The sequence below is a fragment of the Homo sapiens genome, chromosome 9, assembly GCF_000001405.40.
Source record: "Homo sapiens chromosome 9, GRCh38.p14 Primary Assembly".
In the NCBI taxonomy this organism is placed as follows: domain Eukaryota; kingdom Metazoa; phylum Chordata; class Mammalia; order Primates; family Hominidae; genus Homo; species Homo sapiens.
This window is the reverse complement of record NC_000009.12, coordinates 84,442,116-84,466,117: the sequence shown is the minus strand read 5'-3', so window position 1 is coordinate 84,466,117 and position 24,002 is coordinate 84,442,116. Positions and strand designations below refer to the sequence as shown.

At 43.4% G+C, this 24,002-nt stretch overlaps 2 long non-coding RNA genes across 12 annotated transcripts in view; both read right to left on the bottom strand.

Annotated features, from left to right (window-relative positions):
- Positions 1-24,002, bottom strand: part of LOC102724036 (uncharacterized) — a 247,231-nt gene that overhangs the window by 190,914 nt on the left and 32,315 nt on the right. The window lies entirely within an intron of this gene.
- On the bottom strand, positions 558-22,395 carry LOC124902192 (uncharacterized). The gene is made up of 2 exons (XR_007061630.1): positions 22,306-22,395; positions 558-1,489 (listed from the first exon to the last, which is right to left on the bottom strand). It is a non-coding gene; the product is annotated as an uncharacterized LOC124902192 (long non-coding RNA).

Below are 24,002 nucleotides of genomic sequence, written 5' to 3'. Positions count from 1 at the left end.
GTTTTCTTCATGTTTGAAAAATTATCTGCTTGCCTGTCTTGGCCATATATGGAGGAAATAGTAAGGAGCCCCTCTCCCCTGAATTTGAAGTAATTCAAATCATAATTGATCTAAATGGAAAACAATTGTCAAAACTGAACCCCAACATGACAACAGGCCCTAAATACTGTCTGATTAAAAGAAAATGAGGTGCCAGTCAGGGAAACATAGAAATAAGAGTCATATTCCCACCCCGCCCCACCAGCCCTAGGCTGGGTTTTAGTCTGCAGGGTGGGCTCTGAGCCTTCAGCCACAGGTCTGAGATCCTGCCACTCTTTGCCCTGGGCCATGCCCTCCCCTAACCATCAGATGGCCTGATTTCTTCTAAATTTGCACATAGGAAAAGAATATACTGGGCCTCCTCAAATATCAGTTTTAGAATATGTCTGTTTTGTTTCTAGGTAAAGCCACTGGGTTTTTCAAAACTCTAAATGGAAATGATGGAATAGCTAAAATCTACCCAAGCAGGAACTTGTCCAGCCCCCTTCCAAAGTCATCAAATCCAAGTTACCTTCACATGGGTTTTAATAGTTAATTTATTGCATGTGCTGGCAGTCAAAGGAAACTATATACCTAGAGATCTGATGATCTCTCTGGATCACTGCCATGTCACATGATTTTGAAAGGATGTAAATGGTTCCCTGGTTTTGAACAAGCCTGGTGTAGCTCTTATGAGCATGTTTTTGCCCCTGTGGACTGTAACATATTTGATAATTCCTGAGAAGTTGGCAGGCTTATGTTTAAGAGCTCAGGCCATCACTTCTCGGCCTTTTGGCGAAGATCAAGTGAAGAGCTCAGGTCATGCAATAAGCTGGAATTGGGTTTGAATTTTCAGTTCTGCCACTTAGTAGCTATGTGACATTTGACAAATTGCTTGTCCTCTGTGAAGTCTATTTCCATGGTGATAAATGATAATAATAATGAATGCCACCTATGGCCAAGGTAAAGATTAAATGGTTGGGGGTGGTTATGCAATAAACAACCCTAAAATCTCAGTGGCCCTAAAACCACAGAAGAATAGCTCTGCCTCCTGCTCCACATCAAACTCAGGTTGGTGGGAGAGCTCCAGCACCCACCATCCCCCCTCAAGGGCCGAGGATGATAAAGTCACAATTGTCAAGAGCGTCTCTGTTCACCACAGCAGGGAGAAGGACTTAGGAAATTGCACAGGAGCTCTGCAAGGCTTCTCTACATGGAAGTGACATGCATCCCTTCTGCTCATGTTTCATTGACCAAGTCAAGTCCTATGACCATGCTCATCTTCAAGACAGAGGGGAATTACCCAGAAGGAAGAAAATCAGAACCATCAGTGAATGGCACTAATGTTGGCCACATATGCAGACCACGGGTTCTGGTGATGCAGAATATGTAGATCCTGTCCCTTTTCTCCTCCAATGTTGACTTCTTGAATATTTTGACTCTGAAGTTCAATGCAGGGAAAATGTTGGCTCTGTGGTAATGAATGCAAACATTTTAATGAGAATTTGTTCAACCAGTATTTGTCAAGCTTCCTGCATCCCCAGCCCTCTTTGAGACACTGCAGAGTGAGCAGTGAACCAAAGCCTTTGGAGCCCACAGTCTAGCCAAGGAGGCAAGACAAATAGACAGATATAATAATGTCAGGAAATAGTAATTACCATGAGAAAAAAGAAAGCAAGGAAAGAGGGTGGAGAGTGAGTAGGGTAGTCCAAGAAGTTCTCTCTGAGAAGTGATACTTAAGTAGAGACCACCACAAAGTGATGAGTGAATTGGGTGATATCTGGGAGAAGAGGTAACATGGCAAGATCAAAGGAGTGTGTGCCTGGCATGTACAAGTAACAGTAAGGACAGCAGTGTGGCTGGAGCAGAGGGAACCAGGGCCAGGTGGAGGAGATGAGGCAAGAGGCATAACTAACAGCCAAGCCGCGCAGGGCCAGGCCACAGCTAGGGCTCGGAATTTGTACTGTGTCAGAACATCCCTAGAGCATGTGGACCAGGAGAGGTCTGAGTTGCACCAACATGAATCCATGTTCATAAAGAGACATTTTCAGAAGTGAACTCTATTAATTTAATTCCTTGCTTAAACGATACTCAATTATTTCCATTTTTATTTCTATTTTAATAAATTTAGTTTGATTGCTATTAAATCATTTCCTCATAAAATTTATGGCATAAATTTAGTCCAGTGAAATTTAGTTCATTGATTAGTTTTATGTCCATACCAAATTTTACAGAATTTAGCATCTGCCACTGGGAGGTGTATTAGTCAGGGTTCCCTAGGGAGATAGAATCAACCAATCGAGAGAGAGAGAGAGAGAGAGAGAGAGAGACAATAGATACATAGACAATAGATAGATAGACAATAGATACATAGACAATAGATAGATGATAGATAGAGAAATAAAGGTGACAGAGATAGAGAAGACAGATATAGGTATACAGATATACAAAAGGGGGTTTATCAGGGGAATTCACATGATTTTGGAGGCTGAGAAGTCCCACGACAGGCTGTCTTCAAGCTGGAGACCCTGGGAAGCCAGTAGCACCCAGGAAGCCAGGGAAGCTGATGGTGTAACTCTCAGTCTGAGCCCAGAAGCCTAATCACCTAAACAGCCACTGGTCTAAGTCCTGGAGTCCAAAGGCCAGAGAGCTTACAGTTCTGATGTTCCAGCAGCAGCAGAAGAGTGTATCCCAGCTCCCAGAGAAAGAAGCCAATTTGCCTTTTTTTCTGTTTCTGTTCTATCCGGGCCCACTGCCCACTGGATGATGCCCCACCCACAGTGAAGGTAGATCTTCCCCACTTAGTCCACTAAGTCTCACATGCCGAGTCTCTTCTGGAAATACCCTCACTCTAGGGAGTCCTCCATCCAGTCAAGTTGACGCCTAAAATTAATCATCACAAAAGGTGTTCCTCGTTTGTTCTGTCTTGTCTTTCTGTGGCCAATATTTTGGTCAAATCCAATGTTTCTAACCCAAGCTTTTTAGATCTAAATTTTTTCAAAAAGATTCGATTTTTCCATAATGTATTTTTTTAATTATCATGTATAATTTTAGCCACTGCCTTTTTAAGTTCATGTTGATTATTTTTAACCAGACAAATTTTCCCCTGGTCAGTTTTTTGCTATATAACTACCAAGATGTTATTCTTTTTTCTTGCTCTGTCACCCAGGCTGGAGTGGAGTGGTGTGAACATGGCTCACTGCAGCCTCGACCTCCAGGGCTCAAATAATCCTCCTACCTCAGCCTCCCGAGTAGCTGGGACTATAGGCATGCACCACCACACCCAGCTAACTTTTTGTATTTTTTTGTAGAAGTGGGATTTCACCTTGTTACTCTGGCTGGTCTCAAACTCCTGAGCTCAAGCAATCCACCAGCCTTGGCCTCCCAAAGCATGGGGATTACAGGCATGAGCCACAGCACCTGTATAATTCTTTGGTCAAGGTTTTGTTAGAAGACTGTTTTGTTTTGTGTTGCTTGCATATACCAGTAATATACATTATAATTGAATTTTTAAAAGATAGTTTTACTGGTTTCTTAGAGAAAAGGCCAAGAAGTAAGATCTTAGTGAATCAATAAGTCAAAATAGTGAGCAGGTCAGTTTCTTGCTCTTAGCAAACACTGATTGCTCAGTAAACATACTCATGATTGACCCCTGTTACAAGTAGGACAATACTGTACACCTGAATTTCTATTTATTCACTCCCAAGCAGACTATTTACATTTTTTATTGCCAAAAAAAGGCATCATTAGCTGAAGTAGGGTTTCACGCATTAATTCCATACATCAATACAAGAAAGGATCTCTAACCTGAAAACAAGATATGAAAAAATAAATTTACCTGTGCTTTTTTTTAAACTCACAGGTATAAGTGATTTTTTTCAAGGCTAACGTTGAAAAGACAGCCTTGTCAACCCCAGCCTGAACTAAATGGTTCCGCATTCTTTCCAGCTGCATAGACAGGGTTCTGTTTTAACCTATGGCCATTGCACTGCTGTTCTAGAATGTTTAGAGACTCCTGAGTTGACAGAGCTAGAAGCTGCGTGATGACTATTTCTTCTCCAGATGCACAGGAGAGGAAAGCCTAAAGTTACTTAGCAGTTATCCAGGTGTGTATCAAATGTCTACTCTTCAAAACATCCTTATGAGGCAAGAATTTCCTCCCCATTTTAGAGACAAAGAAACTAAGGTTCTGACGGGTTAAGCAGCTTGCCCAAGGTCCCATGTCTGGTACAATAATGACAGAGGCGGGAAATGAAATCCAGAGGCCAACCGGCCTCTAGAGCTCATGCATTTTAATCCCATCTAACCCAGCTTCATAACGGTTTCTATTTCACAGCACAGGAGTTTTCAAACACCAGAGGGCACTTTTTCCCCACCTGCAAACTCTGTGTGTGTGTGTGTGGGTGTGTGTGTGTCTGTTTGTGTGTGTATATGTAAGACAGAGTATAGCTATATTGCCCAGGCTGGTCTCCAACTCCTGGGCTGAAGTGATCCTCCCACCTCAGTCTCTCGAGTAGCTGGGATTGGATTAAAAGCATGTGCCACTGTGCCTGGCTCCTCCTGCAAGCTTTTGACCCCTACATACCTCTCCCAATGTCAAAAAGAATATTACAAAAAGACAATAATCAGTTTTGAGCCAGTGTGGAATACTCATGACCAACAATGGAAATTCAAGGTATGTGTCTCACAAAAACACGTTCCCAGACCCATCCCTAAGCAATGTAACATTTAAAACATTCCAGACACACTGCTGTATTTTGCATTATGCACCACACTTCGTGTTGTACTGTGTTGTGGTGCCCAAGCCACACTGTTCCAGATTTGCATTTCACGAAAGTAAATCCTAATTTCCCTGACTCTGCGACATATGTAATACATCATGCAACCCAAGGTCTCCTTCATCATTCAGTCTATTATACACATTACAACTCAAGTTCACTCACTTTGTCAAAATAAGTCATTCCTTTGAAATGAATTATAATAACTTAAAAGAAAATAAACTAAGATTCATTTTTTTCATGTCTCTTTATCCAACCCAGGATATCTACTTTAAACAACCACTCAAAATGTATTAATAATAAAGGCTTTCTCTGACTTCATGATCTAAAAAGCTCCCAGTTAATAGCAGTCACTGATTTTCAGCTTTCCTCCCTGGTAGACTGACCATAAAAGGCTGAGCCTGGCTTGTCTGATTTATTGGTACCATCATAGATTGTCAATTACTCATAAGCACTGCAAATGCTGAAACATTACATGCATAGGAACACTACACTAAATTATGGATGGCAATGTTGAGAAGTGTAATATATGAGGTCCCACCAGCACAACCTAGAGAACAACCTTTCAAATAAAAGTCTCTGTTTTAATGAGCACCAAAGGCCCATCCACATTAAACATATGAACTCAAGAAAAATAAATCAGAGAATCACAATTTATGAACCAAAAAGGGTGCATAAAGTTTGGGAGGAACCTAATTGCTGAGTTAACAAAGCAAAAGCAGTTCAGCATGTTAATAGCACAAAATACAATATAGTGCCAATTTAAGTAAACTCAAGAAGTCTAGTACTCAACTAAAAGCCTAATATCAGTACACTAAGATATATATACATGCAATGAGTAAACTGAAGAGTAGTGTCTTGAGTGGATTCCCTAAGGCACAAGACTAAATTATTTCTCTAACTTAGAGTGGTAGAGGGAGGCTTTGGGGGGTAGCACAATCAGGAATGCAATTCTGGGACCTCTTTGCTCTGTGAATATAAATCATTAAACAGCAGACAAATGATTTAACACTAATACGAACAAGGGTTCCCAGAGAATTAAATTTCTCTTCCCACAAATGACTCAGAATAAAAGTGAATTGGGCCATTCCATCAACTCCCCAAATGCCAGGAAATATGATGCCAGCACAAAATAAACATCGTAAGAATTGACATGGCTGTCTCCAGAACGATCCATGCCCTCATGAAGTTCCTCAATCCATATGCGATCTTTCCCAAATAGACTAATGAACTCAGTGGTCATCTAGTATACAGAGTCCCCAAAGGCCAGTCCCACCACCTGGGCTCACCATGATGCCGTCTTAAGCATTTTAGAGCAAAAACCAAGGTAGAAGATTACCAAATGTGCTTTCTTAGGAAGGGCCATCTTTTATTCTGAGATTATGCACTTCCTAATAATTCATATAAAAATTATATTTCTTGCCAGGCACAGTGGCTCACGTCTGTAATCCCAGCACTTTGGGAGGCCAAGGCAGGCGGATCATCTGAGGTCAGAAGTTCGAGACCAGCCTGGCAAGATGATGAAACCCCATCTCTACTAAAAATACAAAAATTAGCCAGGGATGGTGGTGCACACTGTAATCCCAGCTACTTGGGAGGCTGAGGCATGAGAATCACTTGAACCCAGGAGGCAGAGGTTGCAGTGATCCGAGATAGCAACACTGCGCTCCAGCCTGAGCGATAGAACGAGACTCTGTCTCAAAAATAGATAGATAGATGTATAATTCTTTTAAAAATAATGACCATAAGTTTGTCACTGTCAAGGTCCTTTTAGTTTAATTTCTTAATTCAGCAAGATATAAAGTTAACAATTCTGTGTTGGAACCCAATTTTTTAAAATTTATTAGCTCATAAAACTAACAATCGGTGAAAAATCCTCAATAAAATACTGGCAAACCAAATCCAGCAGCACATCAAAAAGCGAATCCAGCAGCACATCAAAAAGCTTATCCACCATGATCAAGCTGGCTTCATCCCTGGGATGCAAGGCTGGTTCAACATATGCAAATCAATAAACATAATCCATCATACAAACAGAACCAAAGATAAAAACCACATGATTATCTCAATAGATGCAGAAAAGGCCTTCAACAAAATTCAACAGCCCTTCATGCTAAAAACTCTCAATAAATTGAGAGTTTTGATGGGATAAATGGGAATAAATTGAGGTATTGATGGGACGTATCTCAAAATAATAAGAGCTATTTATGACAGACCCACAGCCAATATCATACTGAATGGGCAAAAACTGGAAGCATTCCCTTTGAAAACGGGCACAAGACATGGATGCCCTCTCTCACCACTCCTATTCAACATAGTATTGGAAGTTCTGGCCAGGGCAATCAGGCAGGAGAAATAAATAAAGGGTATTCAATTAGGAAAAGAGGAAGTCAAATTGCCCCTGTTTGCAGATGACATGATTGTATATTTAGAAAACCCCATCGTCTCAGCCCAAAATCTCAAGCTGAGAAGCAACTTCAGCAAAGTCTCAGGATACAAAATCAATGTGCAAAAATCACAAGCATTCCTATACACCAATAACAGACAAACAGCCAAATCATGAGTGAACTCCCATTCACAATTGCTTCAAAGAGAATAAAAGACCTAGGAATCCAACTTACAAGGGATGTGAAGGACCTCTTCAAAGAGAACTACAAACCACTGCTCAATGAAATAAAAGAGGACACAAACAAATGGAAGAACATTCCACGCTCATGGATAGGAAGAATCAATATCATGAAAATGGCCATACTGCCCAAGGTAATTAATAGATTCAATGCCATCCCCATCAAGCTACCAATGACTTTCTTCACAGCATTGGAAAAAACTACTTTAAACTTCATATGGAACCAAAAAAGAGCCCGCATTGCCAAGACAATCCTAAGCCAAAAGAACAAAGCTGGAGGCACCATGCTATCTGACTTCAAACTATACTACAAGGCTACAGTAACCAAAACAGCATGGCACTGGTACCAAAACAGAGATATAGACCAATGGAACAAAACAGAGGCCTCAGAAATAATACCACACATCTACAACCATCTGATCTTTGACAAACCTGACAAAAACAAGAAATGGGGAAAGGATTCCCTATTTAATAAATGGTGCTGGAAAACCAGCTAGCCATAGCAGAAAGCTGAAACTGGATCCCTTCCTTACACCTTATACAAAAATTAATTCAAGATGGATTAAAGACTTAAAACGTTAGACCTAAAAACCATAAAAACCCTAGAAGAAAATCTAGGCAATACCATTCAGGACATAGGCATGGGCAAGGACTTCATGTCTAAAACACCAAAAGCAATGGCAACAAAAGCCAAAATAGACAAATGGGATCTAACTAAACTAAAGAGCTTCTGCACAGCAAAAGAAACCACCATCAGAGTGAACAGGCAACCTACAGGATGGGAGAAAATTTTTACAATCTACCCATCTGACAAAGGGCTAATATCCAGAATCTACAAAGAACTTAAACAAATTTACAAGAAAAAATCAAACAATCCCATCAAAAAGTGGGGGAGGGATATGAACAGACACTTCTCAAAAGAAGACATTTATGCAGCCAACAGACACATGAAAAAAGGCTCAACATCACTGGCCATCAGAGAAATGCAAATGAAAACCACAATGAGATACCATCTCATGCCAGTTAGAATGGTGATCATTAAAAAGTCAGGAAACAACAGGTGCTGGAGAGGATGTGGAGAAATAGGAATGCTTTTACACTGTTGGTGGGACTGTAAACTAGTTCAACCATCGTGGAAGACAGTGTGGCGATTCCTCAAGGATCTAGAACTAGAAATACCATTTGACCCAGTGATCCCATTACTGGGTATACACCCAAAGGAGTGTTAAGTCATGCTGCTATAAAGACACATGCACACGTATGTTTATTGCGGCACTATTCACAATAGCAAAGATTTGAAACCAAGCCAAATGTCCATGGATGATAGACTGGATTAAGAAAATGTGGCACATATACACCATGGAATACTATGCAGCCATAAAAAAGGATAAGTTCATGTCCTTTGTAGGAACATGGATAAAGCTGGAAACCATCATTCTGAGCAAACTGTCACAAGGACAGAAAACCAAACACCACATGTTCTCTCTCATAGGTGGGAATTGAACAATGAGAACACCTGGACATAGGAAGGGGAACATCACACACCGGGGCCTGTCATGGGGTGGGGGGAGGGGGGAGGGATAGCATTAGGAGATATACCTAATGTAAATAACGAGTTAATGGGTGCAGCACACCAACATGGCACATGTATACATATGTAACAAACCTGCACATTGTGCACATGTACCCTATAACTTAAAGTATAATAATAATAATAAACTGACAATCTAAAAATCATCATCTTATACTCTAGGGCAGCCCAACTTTATTAATCAACATATACCCAGTAAGAATCAAGGAATGCTGGCTCTGCTTATTTTGCTACTTGATTATGGTTGGAGGAGAGAGCCATGCAGTATAACCTAATTTAGGGGACTGGTCCCAGCTTCCTGTAAAATGAATCAAGTAAATGAATGAGAGTCTCTCAAGCATTCACGCTTGAGCAGTTCAGTCATCTGGAATGCTATGGTGGTTTAGGCTTCATTTTCCACCTGGGTTGATATCTCAGACACACTGAAGATCCTTTCCACACTCTGGACTGACAGTTTCTTGACCTCCGTTATTTAGTTTCCACTCCACATCAGCTACCAATAGGCAACAAACCTTATTTTCACTTGTACAATGGGACTACCCTTTCCTTTGATCTTATAGCAAGGCAGGGGACCCAGAGGACACAATAATTGACAAGTGGTGATTGGACATGGCACCTCCCAAGGCTTAGTCAACCGAAGAGCACTTTGAAGTGAGCTTCATATTCCAGAAAAAGAAAGTTGATGGACCTCTTGCATCTTATGCAACCAAGGTTATGCAGGCAGGTGCCAGGGGCCTCTCATGCTGAGATGTACCGAATATTTTCAATGGGGGTTCCTAAGGAAAAAGAAAACATCCACTGCATGGCAAGATAGCAGATTATTTTTGGAAACTTAAGAATGATCAAAGAAAAAAAAAACAGGACTTCTTAAAAGAAAGAGAGAAATGGAAAAAAAAAAAAAAAAAAAAAAAAAAAAACCAAGCTTAATACCAGGAGCACAACCTACACTAGGGATCAAGGGGACTTCAAAGTCACACGAGGAGGCTGGGCACTGAGAATGGAGAGAAGCCCTTTCCTTTCTGCACCCACCTTCACTCGAGTCTGTTTCTCTGCCTGGGTGCCCTCCCTTCCCCAGCCCACCTCTTTAAGTTAACATTTTCTCCACCTTCCAAGACTCAGTTAAAAACCATTTCTTGGCCGGGCGCAGTGGCTCATGTCTGTAATCCCAGCATTTTGTGAGGCCAAGGTGGGCAGATCACTTGAGGTCAGGAGTTCAAGACCAACCTGACCAACATGGTGAAACCCCATCTCTACTAAAAATACATGCCTGTAATCCCAGCTACTCGGGAGGCTGAGGCAAGAGAATCGCTTGAACCTGGGAGATGGAGGTTGCAGTGAGCTGAGATTGCACCACTGCATTCCAGTCTATGCAACAGAGTGAGACTCCATCTCAAAAAAAAAAAAATCTTTTAATAAGCCTTCCTTCCCCTTGGCAATAAATTTTCTCTCTCTCTCTTCAGCGTAACCACAGCATTATATCTCTCTTGTAATAGTAGTGCCTATCATTTTATCCTTTGTATTGTGATTTAAGATATAGCACTATTTCTCCTAACATTTTGAAACAATCACAAGAGCAGATCTATGATTGATTCATCATTGTATACAGCTGATGTTCAATAATGACTTGCTGGTAGAAAAGTGAATGAATAAATAGAAAATTGCATATATTTACTTTAGTCTTCCTGCAATTCCACGGAAATCTCTGCCTCCAGGGTCAAATAAGTCAATAAAACACCAGAGAGCAGGGAGGCTTTCTCTAAACATAGTATGGAATTTGACCATTAAGGTGCATTTTTAATTCTCTATTTCTTTGGGGGTGTTTTGTTTTGTTGAGTGAGACACTGCACTCTGTTGCCCAGGCTGGATTGCAGTGGCTCAATCTCTGCTCACTGCAGCCTCAATCTCCTGGGCTCAATTGATTCTCCCACCTCAGCCTCCCAAGCAGCTGGGACTACAGAAGTAAGCCACCAAATCCAGCTAATTTTTGTTATTTTTTGTAGAGATGGAGTTTCGCTATGTTGCCCAGGCTGGTCAGCCTTCCAAAGTGCTGGGATTACAGGCATGAGCCACCATGCCCTGCCAATTCTCTGCTTCTTTTTATTTTCTATATAGTATACCTGGGCATCTGAGAGGTGGCTGGGAAGACATATACAAACCTACTGGCTGGGGGATGCTAATAACTCATAATTACAAAACTTCCACCTTTGGTAACTACAACCACTTCTAGATTTTCAAACTCTGTTCACACAGACACACAAAATATTATCTCATTTGACACTCACCACTACTCTGCCAGAAGAAAGATAAAAGCATCACAGGCATATTCTCCCCAACGGAGCTGATAAAGAGGAAAAAAAAAACTGAGATTCTGAGAGATGCAGTAACTCATCCCAAGTCATACAGATGGCCAGTGGCAAGGCAAGTTTCAAATCTAGATCACTCCTTTGCCAGAGAAAACACACCTGGAGACATTCACCAGGGGTAGGGCAGGAGTGGGGCAGGGTCCACAGGCTGAAGAGAGCAATGTTGGGTAATGGGTTTTGAGAAGGCAAAGTAATCCACACGAAATAAACAAGAGATGAATGTGAACATTCTCCCAATGTAGCTGCAGTGCCAGACCTCACTGACACACCCATCCCTGTAAGGGACCCAGGCAGTGACTCTGAAGACCATTGGCGTGTCCATACAGGTGTTGATCCATGGGCCTCAAGGCACTTGAAATAGATGAAGTCATACTTCAGCGTAGCAGTCCATCCATCTATTCAATAAGCATCATGGGGTGGCTTATTCTCCATGGGGCTGTAAAGTCCTATTTCTGATTTCAAAGACTGTAAATGAATGATTTGTAAGAGAAGAGAACAGAAGTTCTAAGAGTTAGGTGGGACGCAGTGGCTCATGCCTGTTATGCCAGCACTTTGGGAGGCTGAGGCAGGTGGATCACTTAAGGTCAGGAGTTCAAGATCAGCCTGGCCAACATGTTGAAACCCTGTCTCTACTAAAAAATACAAAAAATTAGCCAGGGTGGTGGTGCACACCTGTAATCCCAGCTATTTGTGGGACTGAGGCAGAAGAATCGCTTGAACCCTGGAGGCAGAGGTTGCAGTGAGCCAAGATCGTGCCACTGTACTCCAGCCTTGGCGACAGAGTGAGACAAGAAAGACAGACAGACAGAAAGGAAAGGAAGGAAAGAAAGGAAAGAAAAGAAAGAAAGAAAAGAAAGAGAAAGTTCTAAGAGTTAAACTCCTCTCAGCTCTACATGGTGGAGCCAGAAATGCCATACATGTTTTCTGACTCTGAAATCCTTGCTTGCCTCTCTGCTTTTACAGGAAAGGGAGACTGAGACAGGGTGAGGTTAGCATGACTTAAGCCACACGTGGGGCAGAGAAGAGGTAGGATTTATGAGAGCTAAATCCCATGTCTGCATTTTGGCCATTAAACAAGGCTCTCTTCTAAGAAGGGGACACAGTGGAGACATTGCTTTCCTTCTCTTTATACCAAAAGAGCCAAGAATTCAAAGCCCCATCCAGCCAAGCCCTCTGTAACTGACCAGCCCTCTCGGCTGTCAGCAGCACCCCCCAGGGCTGCCCTATACGTTTGCATGGCAGACATCTCCAAGCCAGAATCATAGAACTTCTCACCAATAGACAGTTGCTCATTTGCCTTGAATTCAACAACTAGTTGTCTTTTAATCACTTTATGTGGTAGAAAAATGAATTTCAAAAAAGATACATTCTGGGCCGGTGGCAGGGGCTCATGCCTGTAGTCCCAGCACTTTGGGAGGCTGAAGGGGGCAGATGCGTGAGCTCAGGAGTTCAAGACCAGCCTGGGCAACATGGCGACACCCTGTCCCTACAAAATATACAAAACATTAGCTGGGCGTGGTGGCATATGCCTGTAGTCCCAGCTACTCACAAGGCTGAGGTGGGAGGATCATCTTAGCTGGGGAGGTCTAGGCTACACCGAGCTGCACTCCAGCCTGGGTGACACAGACCCCGTCTCAAAATAAGCAGGGCAGTTGGGGGAGGATCCTCCGTTAGCAAAAAGCAAATAATAGGTGCCCAATTTACAAATAATACTCTATTTTCACTCTGTATGAGGAGGTTCTTTGCCTGACTCTAGATATTAATCTGTAGACAGATGATTCTTCTCCCCGTTTCCCTGTGAATGATGTGTCTTGCACACTGTGGTATCCCTCGCATCTAGCACAGTGGCTGGCATGCAGCAGAAGCCCTATATTTGTTGGATGTTGATGTTCACCTGTGTTCATGAGTAAAAAGGCTGCTATTAACCTGCTGCCCTTACAATACTTATCCTGGAAAGACCCCCTGATATCCAGGGTGGCTCCCTAGGCTTAGGAAAGCAGGGGCCAGTGAGTGGGGGTTGCCTGTGTGTTTTCCCAGCAATTCCAATGACAATGCGCCTGGATGTTGACTCATCTAATGTTAGATGTTAGTCCTAAATATGGCAGCCCACACTGATGAGCACATTTTTATGTGCCTCCTGCAAGAGACAATTGTAGCAGCCACATATAGCCTGGCCTTGGGACACCTGGACAGTAGGTAGTGTGCAGAAGTCTGCTGCTTCAAGTCACCATTCAGGAAAAGCAGCAAATGGCACTGCAAAGCCTCTAAGACTGTGCTGCTGTGGTGCTGTGACAGGAAAAGTGACAAGGAGGAAACGCAGAGTCATCATCTATTGAACATCCACTTTGTGCCAAGCACTTGGAAGTTGCTGTTATTACCCCCACATTTCAGAAATTAGAAAATTGAGGCTTCCAAAGGTCAGGTAGTTTGTCTAAGTTTCCTCAGCTGAGATGCAAATTCAGGTTCATTTTAAGCCACATCCCACATTTTAAAGGCCACTACATGGTATATATAATTCTGTTCTTGCTTTTTGAGGGCAGCACTTTGCCCAGCGTTGAGTGTGTGGTATTCCTGTCCTAGTGGCAGGTTGGTGGTCCATTGAGTATCTAGTGAAACAGTTCCCCCGAAGACACCGGAAACCAAGATTGTGGCATTTCCTTCAATATGCATATTTGCTCCATCCCGTCTCCCTTCCTTAATCTCTCATAATTTTTATTTTTCTTCTGACTTCCTGTTCCTTTCTGCCTATATCTTGGCCTTGCAATGACAGCCCTATGACCCTTAAAGCTACATGTGCCAAGTCATGGATCTAAAGAGCTTAATTTAACTAGGTCCTGGGATGGCCAAGTTCATGGCTGACATCATTTCTCAGAATCCAGTGGGGCATAGCCCTGTTGGCTGCAATGCATCAGGACATGGTGTGAGAGTCCAGAACCAGGAACTGACCTTGCCCACTAGAGGGACAGGCTTGGTGGGGAAAGCCCTACTGTAGGTGCTTCCCTTCTGGAAGGCTGAGTGAATGCTCCAGGATGCATAGCATTAGAGGTTCTATAAAGCTGGTGGCATCAAATCATTCTAATGGAGGGAAAAGGTGTCCTAATGATGTGAACAGAGGAGAATGTAGGAAATCAAAGACAGTGGACAATGCTTGGAGAACAACAAGGAGTTAGACTCATGGATACCTGCCATCAGGCAACAGGGGAACAGCCACTGGGCTCGTGACCAAAGCCAGGATCTCAGATCCTTGAGAGCTTAGCAAAGATCAAGGTAGAAGCCCAGGGGTACAAGGGCTGGCAACTGGGCAAGTTATCAAAACCCAGATGAGGGTGAGAGGTTGGAACAGCAGACTACAGCTCAGGGTGGAGAGAGCACATCTAGGGCTAGAGCCTGTTAGGGGTTTTCCTCCACCAGCCAATCCTCCAGCACCAACCAGGTGTCCTGCAGTTCAATTCAATTCTAACCCTAACAACCAGAGTTAGCACCAGACTCCACAGATCTAAGCGGCTCAGTCCCATAAAATCGCCTTCCCTTCAGACGCCAGCTGCAAGTCTGGGTGCGCAGGTTACCTGGACTTCTGTCTGCCTCTGCTACAAAGTCAGGGGTTCCCACAACCTCCTTCCTCAACCTCAGTAATTGGCTAGAATTGTAATCACCCAATGGGTTCACCTTGCCCGCTCCCTAGACAGAGCAGATTTCTCAAGACAGGGGAACTGCAATAGAGAAAGAGTAATTCACACAGAGCCGGCTATGTGGAGGACCGGAGTTTTATTATTACTCAAACAAGTCTCTCCAAGCATTCAGGGATTAGAGTTTTTAAGGCCAGCTTGGTGGGTGAGGAGAAACCAGTGAGCCAGGAGTGCTGATTGGTCAGGTAGGAGATGAAATCATAGGGAACCTATGTAACAAACCTTTACGTTCTACACACATATCCCAGAACTTAAAGTAAAATAAAAATAAAAAGGAAAGAAATCATAGGGAATTGAATTTGTCCTTTTGCACTGAGTCAGTTCCTGGGTCGGGGCCACAAGATCAGATGAACCAGCCAATCAATCTGGGTGGTGCCAGCTGACCCATCAAGTGCAGGGTCTGCAAAATATCTCAAGCACTGATCGTAGGAACAGTTTAGGGAGGGTCAGAATCCCATAGCCTCCAGCTGCGTGACTCCCAAACCACAATTTCCAATCTTGTGGCTAATTTATTAGTCCTACAAAGGCAGTCTAGTTCCCAGGCAAGAAGGTGGTCTGCCCTGGGAAAGAGCTGCCATCGTCTTTGTTTTAAACCATAAACCAAGTTCCTCTCAAAGTTAGCCCAGCCCACGGCCAGGAACAAACAAGGACAGCCTGGAGGCTAGACACAAGATGAAGTCGGTTAGGTCAGATCTCCTTCACTAACTCAGTCACAATTTTGCAATGGTGGTTTCAGAATGACTCACAGAACTCAGGAAAATACTATATTTCCTATTACCATTTATTATAAAAGATGCAAATGAGCAGTCAGATGAAGACGTGCATAGGGTGAGGCCTGGGAGGGTCCCCAGCACAAGAGCCTCTGTCCCCATGGAGCTGAGATGCAACACCCTCCCCGGAAGTGGATGTATTCATCAACTCAGAAGTTTCCTGCATCCCATCATAGAAGGGTTTGGTTTTGGGTTTTTGTTGTTGTTGTTTTGTTTTTTGTTTTTTTGTTTTGAGACAGAGTCTGGCTCTGTCGCCCAGGCTTGAGTGCAATGGCATGATCTTGGCTCACTGCAACCTCCGCCTCCCGGGTTCAAACGATTCTCCTGCCTCAGCCTCCCTAGTAGCTGGGATTACAGGCACCTGCCACCATGCCTGGCTGATTTTTGTATTTTTAGTAGAGACAGGGTTTCACCATGTTGGCCAGGCCGGTCTGACCTCAGGTGATCCGCTTGCCTCGGCCTCCCAAACTGCTGGGATTACAGGTGTGAGCCACCGCACCCGGCCCATATAAGGGTTTTTATGGAGATTTTGTTACACAGGCGTGATTGCAGCTGCTAGTAACTAATGGGACTCTAGTCTCTCTTCCCTCCCTAAAGCTCCAAGGGTGGAGCTGAACGTTTCTAGCTCTAATCACAGTGTGGCCCCCCGGTCACCATGCAGCCATCCAGGAGCCCCTCTGTCTAGAGTCATTATTAGCATACCGAAGACACTCTTATTGCTCAGGAGATTCTAAGGGTTTTAGAAGCTGTGTACCACGAACCAAGGACAAAGACCAAATATTTTTTATTATGCCACAGAGGCAAATGTCCTACTACCAAAATAAAGGTCAGAGCCACACAGGTAGCAAAGACGACTTATAGCTGCATCCTCCAAACTGATCCAGAGCCTCAGCAAGAGAAAAGGACAGAGGGGAGCCTGTACATGTGAGGCTGAGGCAGGAAGATCACTTGAGCCCAGGAGTTCCAGGCTGTAGTTCTCTATGATTGTAACTGTAAATGCCACTGCACAGCTGCCTGGGCAATATGATACCCTGTAAGGCCCTGAACGACGTGGGAAAGATGCGGGAGCTTAACTGGTGATGAGAGGCCAAGAAGAGTTGAACTTAATGCAATTCAACCAGGACACCTGGTTGGTGCTGGAGAATTGGTTGGTGTCTGGAAAAGCCTTCTGTTCACATTGCATCAGAGCTCCTGCTAAGTCATGATTTTCATCATGGGTTCTCTGCTTTCCCCCAGATACCTTATAAAAATTAACAATAAATAGGTTTATTATTGATCTTTTTAGATTGATGAATAAATTCATATTTTAAACTTAAAAAATCAATAATTATTGAGCTTCTATAGTTATGTTCTGAAGTTATGGTGGATTAATTTTTAGAAGGAGCCCCTGCCTGCAAGGTTTTTTATTCTATTTAAAGACATGAGCCCTGTGCACTGCTGTTTCTTAATCCCAGCTACTTGGGAGGCTAAGGCAGGAGGATCACTTGAGCCCAGGAGTTCCAGGCTGTAGTTCTCTATGATTATAACTGTAAATGCCACTGCACTCCTGCCTGAGAAACATCAGATTGTCTCTAAAAAATAAAAATAAATTTCAAAAACTGAAAAAACAATTTTTAGTATATAGAGACATGAAAGGAACATACAAAAAAAATACCATTTCATTCTAGAAGGGACCTTAGAGCTTCTACTAGTTTTCTATTGCTGCTGCAATAAATTACACAAATTTAGTGGCTTAAGACGATGCACATTTATTATCTTACAGCTCTGGAGCTCAGAGGCTGAAATGTTCTTACAGGCTAAATTGAGGCGAGGCAGAGCTACCTTTCTTCTGATGGCTCTCTAAGGGAGAATGTTTCCTTTCCTTTTCCAGCTGTAGGAAGCCACCTGCATTCCTTGGCTCATTGCCCTTTCTCCACCTTCAAAGGATATCGCTTCAAACTCTATTTCCATCGTCCTGTCTCCTACTTCTGACTCTGACCCTCCTGCCTCCCTCTGGTAAGGACCCCTGTGATGACACTGGGCCCACCCACATAATCCAAGATAGTCTCCCCATCTCATGATTCTCAATTGATCACACCTGTAAAGTCCTTTTTGCAGTGTAAGGAACCATACACAGGTGCCAGGGATAAGGATCTTTGCTGGGCAAAGGCAGTATTCTATCTATCACAAATCTCTCCTAACATAACCACCCTGATTTTTTAATTTTTACTTTATTTTTATTTATTTATTTTTAAGATGGAGTTTCGCTCTGTCACCCAGGCTGGAGTACAGTGGCATGATCTCAGCTCACTGCATCCTCCGCCTCCCAGGTTCAAGCGATTCTCCTGCCTCAGCCTCCTGAGTAGTTGGGATTACAGGCAGGCGCCATCTCGCCCGGCTAATTTTTGTATTTTTAGCAGAGACAGGGTTTCACCATATTGGCCAGGCTGGTCTCCAACTCCTGACCTCAAGTGTTCTACCCACCACGGCCTCCCAAAGTGCTGGGATTACAGACATGAGCCACCGTGCCCAACCTGATTTTTTTAGACAAGAATATTTAAGCATGGGTTGGCCAAATGACTTTCCCAAGGCCATGAGTTTAGACTAGAACTCAGGGTATCTGAGTCCCACCAACATGTAGTTCCCAGACAGGTGTTCTTTCTACATTAAGTTGCCATGAAAAAATGAGTAATACAAATTACTATATTGGTGAGTGCAAATTACATGCCCTGGAGTATTATGTTCATAAGTACACAGAATTGCAGGATCAAAGAGTTAGTGCCCAGAGGACCTCAGAAGTCTTCCTGTCCAACCAGTCTGATCCTGCCTACATTCATATATTTCAACATCTCCAGTTACCGGGAGCTTTACACTCTTGCCAAAGCAACACACAGCCCATTCCTGAGGCTGCTAGTTGTTAGCAAAGTGTGTCTTGAATAATTGGATTGCCAGCTTCAGCGTGTGGACAATGCACACTACAATCCAGCCAGCCCCCAGGAGTGACCCACACAATAATGGAAATCCCACAAACCCAGATGGACAAGAAGTCCAGGCCCCCTCCCTGGGAAATCTCTCCCTTGAAACAGACAAAAGTAGCAATCTGAGTACTTACTCCAGCCTCAAGGGCCATCCTTGTATTCCCAGCTTCCTGCTGGAAACAGAACCCAGACAGTGCCTGTGACCAACATTGCTAGACACACCTCCACACACACACTTTTTTTAGTATAACAGAGCGGTAACAGACACATACCTTGACTGCATCTTTAGGCTCCCTTTCAGTTAAGTGTGGGCATAAAGCTAGTTTTCATCAATGGAATGCAAATGGAAGTCATGTGCACTACTTTGGGGCCAGGATTTAAGAAACAGGTGTTCCTCCTTCATTCTTTTTTATCCCCTTCTACCTGAATGCAATGTCTCTGAGGACCTAGATAAATGGTGCTCCGGCTTCTGAGTCACTGCCCAGAGGAGAGACACCTGCTGACCACAAACAGTGCCCTTAGACTGCTGTGTGAGCAAGAAATAAAATTCCATCGCATTTGAGCCATTATACAATTTGGGGTCTAATTTGTTGCAGCAGCTTCACTTAAAATAACTAGGACTGTATCTCTTCAGGCAGAAGTATTATACAACTGCTACCTGAACAGTGTCACTGCCACTGGCTGTAGCCAAAGGGCAAGTTCTGACTATTCCCACCAGCCAGGCAACTATTGTTAAGTCTGTAGAGGCCTTGGGAGGTGGCATGGGAGACTTAAGTGGCCTCCATTATCTTCATCCATGTCCCCATGCTTTGATAGAGACTACAGATTTTTTTTTTTTTTTTTTTTGAGACAATGTCTTGCTCTGTCGCCCAGGCTGAAGTGCAGTAGCCTGATCTTGGCTCACTGCAACCTCCACCTCCTGGGTTCAAGCGATTCTCCTGCCTCAGCCTCCCCAGTGGCTGGGATTACAGGTGTGCACCACCACGCCCGGCTAATTCTTATATTTTTAGTAGAGACGGAGTTTTGCCATGTTGGCCAGGCTGGTCTCGAACTCCTGACCTCAGGTGACCCGCCCGTCTCAGGCTCCCAAAGTGCTGGGATTACAGGCATGAACCACCATACCCTTACAGTCGATTTCTTAATATAACATAAAGTGCTACTCAACACTCCCTCCCCCACCCTGACACACATACATACATGCAATACCCTCTAACAAGACGCCTGCCTCAAGTCCCTTTCATGTGGAAGTTCTAGACCCACCAATGTCACAACTGATAAGAAGTCTGGAGAAAAATTCTACTCACCATCACTGCCACCTGCATTGTGTCATCACTTTTGGTCACTTCGGAGTCATGCAGTGGTCATCACCTCACACTGACAGTGTGAACTAAGAATAGATCTCAGATCAGTCTGCAGGGATTCTGCCAGTGCAGGACAGCCAAGGTCCACCCCACCAAAACTGTGCTGTAGCTCCTTCCATTCATGCATATAGCCTTTTTCCAGAGGTATGAGCCTGACACCATGGACTCAGAAGCACCGGTCCCCTCTGACCACCCGATTCTATGCAAGGGTCTCACCCCTCAGGCAACCGCCTGGCCTTTCCTGCTGCAGGGCCTTATATCAGCCCACCTTTTCCACCCTAATAGCTTTCCATAACTTTGACTCTCAAGGAGGAAATTTCCCCAGGCCAAGTTTCTCTATCCAAAAAAAAAAAGTGTCGAGCGCTATAGCTCACGCCTATAATCCCAGCAGTTTGGGGGCCGATGTGGGTGGACTGCTTGAGCCCAAGCATATAAGACTAGACTGAGCAACATAGCAAGACCCCATCTCTACAAAAAAATGCAAACAATTAGCCAGGCAAGGTGGTGTATGTCTGTAGTCCCAGCTACCTGGGAGGTTGAGGTGGAGGGATCACATGAGCCTGGGAGGCTGACATTGCAGTCAGCCGAGATCATGCCACTGGACTCCAGCCTGGGCGACAAAGTGAGAGCCTGTCTCAAAAAATAAAAATCAATTAAAAAACAAAAAACACTAAATCCTCATTTCACATAGGACCAGGGTTCTGGAGAACAAGAATTTATCTACATGATAGTCCTCATAAAAACAGAAAAACTTTCATGACCCCAGACAAGGTGGTCTTTTCCCTGAGCCAAATATTATAATTCCTTTGACGAGTCCTTGAGAAATAAGAAAAAATGTAAAAGAAAGTACTCTGTGACTGCTTGAGCTCCCAGCAAACGTTGGTCGTCTTTGTGGCCACTGTGTGCAATCTCAAGTCCCCACACTGTCCTCACCTCACCTCGCAATGTGCCCAAAGACAGAAAACAATGAGGGATGGAGGAGAGAGCACGGGCTCCTTGGAGGAGGAATCCTTGCTGGACACGGAGCAGATGAGTAATCTGGGTGTGTGACAGGTGAGAAATCCAGCGAGGAAGAGAAGACGCATAAAGGCAGAATCAGAGAAGGAGGGTGGTCTACGAGGATGTGAGTCTGCCCAGAACTGAAGGTGTCCATATTTTGGGAAATAGTAAATAAACCATTTTTAAAAGTCAGAAGGAAAAGTTCATTGACTATTTAGAACATTAGGACTCAATGAATTCTGAGCAGGTGAGTATTCTGACATAAACACCAAGGAAGATAAATTTGGTATCAATGTAATTGGGAAGGACCAGGAAGAAGCTATGGGATAAATTTTGAAATGGGGAGGTGAGGGAATGAACTAGAGCAGTGAGAAGAAAACCTCAGAGAAAAGAATGTATGGTAAACATTTCCAGGGATTCAGTGACTGGCTGAATTCAGAGATTCATCCATTTCTAAAATTTGGCACTTGGATAACTAGCACAATAACTTGGCATCCATGGAAATTTGGAGAGGCGAGGCTGATTTGGAGAAGGGATTTTTTTTAGATATGTTGCATTTGAGCAATTAAAAAAAGATCCTAATACAAATGCCTGGTAAGCAGCTGAAGATATGGAACTGAGATTTGATTGAAAGAGCAAATACAGCTGTAGAATCAGGAGCTACTCCCATGGTGGTAATAAACAAGAAACAAAAATAAATGAACTTTCCACCCATTGGGCCAAATAGCTAATTGAATGACTAGAGAAAAGGTAAGAGAACGCATATTCAATCAAAAATCAGGACCAGGAACTGTCCTAGGCACTGGGAATGCAGAGCTTCATTTAGCCTCCAACAGAACAGACTGATCCTGGGGCAAAAAGTCTTTGTGCTGGTCCCGATGCCCAAATATAGATGAACTATTGGGCAATTACTCTCAGCTCAGGCATTTCTGCATCCCACACCTGGCTGAATTAGAGGAAGGATAACTCTTTTCTCTCAGAATTCACTTCCTCTGCAGACCTCATGTTTCCTGATCTTCATGAAATCTTATGAGAGATATTTTAGCTCTACATAGCCTCTGAAACAGGCATAATTACCCCCACCATCTTGCCCATTGTTCTCAAACATTGGAATTTATCCAATGTTATAACATCTCTTTTTTTTTAAGAGAATTACCTTTAAAAAAAAATGCCTTTCAGAGTATGCATTTAGAAGTTTCAAATAATTGTGCCGGGTGCAGTGGCTCACGCTTGTGAGCAGCGGGTGCGGTGGCACATGCCTCCCTGCATGTTGGGAGGCCGAGGCAGGCAGATCACCTGAGGTCAGGGGTTCAAGACCAGCCGGCCAACATGGTGAAACCCCATCTCTACCAAAAATACAAAAATTAGCTGGACATGGTGGCGCACGCCTGTAATCCCAGCTACTCGGGAGGCTGAGACTGGAGAATTGCTTGAACCCATGAGGCAGAGGTAGCAGTGAGCCAATATCAGGCCACTATACTCCAGCCTGGGTGAGAGAAGATGACTCCATCTAAAAAAAAAAAAAAAAAAAAGAAGTTTCAAATAATTGTAGATACATATGGTCCAGCTCACACATCTCCCTCTATCTCTGTCTCTGTGTTCTCTCTCTCTCTCTCTCTCTCTCTCTCTCTCTCTCTCTCTGGGGTGGAGGGCGGGGGACTCCCACTGAGCAGTTTCTTGTTAGGAACCAATTGACCTAACGTCCTTCCCTACCGGAGGTAGAGGCTGACAAGTCAGAAAATTGTGAGAGCTTGGCCTTTGGCCTCCAAGTGTCCAAAAAAAAAAGAAAGAAAGAATGAAGAAAAGCACTCAGGCTCCATATGTTCCAGACTACAAAGTTTATCTTTTTTAATTAATATTTCTCTTTGTCCCAGGAGATGGAAAGGGCTGATAATATAATTACATGAATGCTTTTTATTTTAGTGATGCTTCTGTTATAGAAAAGTTGCTTTTTTTTCTCAAGTTTGGACTCAGGTTTACCATGTGGTCAGCACTCTGTAGTCAGCCTCTAGAGTCCTTCACTCTCTTTTCACTCGTTACAGAAAGCAAGGAAATGTTGGTCATTGCTGTGGCATTAACACCTTGAGAACTTCCTGGCCCTGGCACTAGCACTCACATATAAAGAGAGCCGTAGCTCGTGCATATTTTGATTCTCTATTTTAAAGAAAACGGGTAAAAAAAAAAAGGTTCGAAAAACAGGAAAACGAGTCCTTGAGTTTTTCTTTTCTCATAAGAGTTCCCCAGGCTTTTCAAAAGAACATTATTAATATATCCTCAGTGGAGCCCTTAGTGATCTGCAATGACTTCAGTTAAGAAAATGTGTTTTTCCATGACCAACCACAATTTTTTTTTTTTTTTTTTTTGAGACAAGAGTCTCACGCTGTCACCCAGGCTGGAGTGCAATGGCATGTTCTCAGCTCATTGCAACCTCCACCTCCCAGGTTCAAGTGATTGTCCTGCCTCAGCCTCCCAAGTAGCTGGGATTACAGATGTGCACTACCACACCTGGCTAATTTTTGTATTTTTAGTAGAGACAGGGTTTCACTATGTCGGCCAAGCTGGTCTCAAACTCCCGACCTCAGGTGATCCACCTGCCTCAGCCTTCCAAAGTGGTGGGATTACAGGCGTGGGCCACCGTGCCCTGCCCCAACCATAATTTTGAGTTTGCTTACGTGTGGAATGAGAGGCCTTGATAATCATTGTCGTGAATATATATTTGGCCAAGGTGACTTTCTCTTGAATATAATTTTTAGAGCAGGAAGTGACCAAGAAAGAATGTATGTAAGACCCTGAAAACAAAATTTGCTCTTTATTCAGTGTGACTTTGTCCATTCAGAGAAATACGGTCTTCTT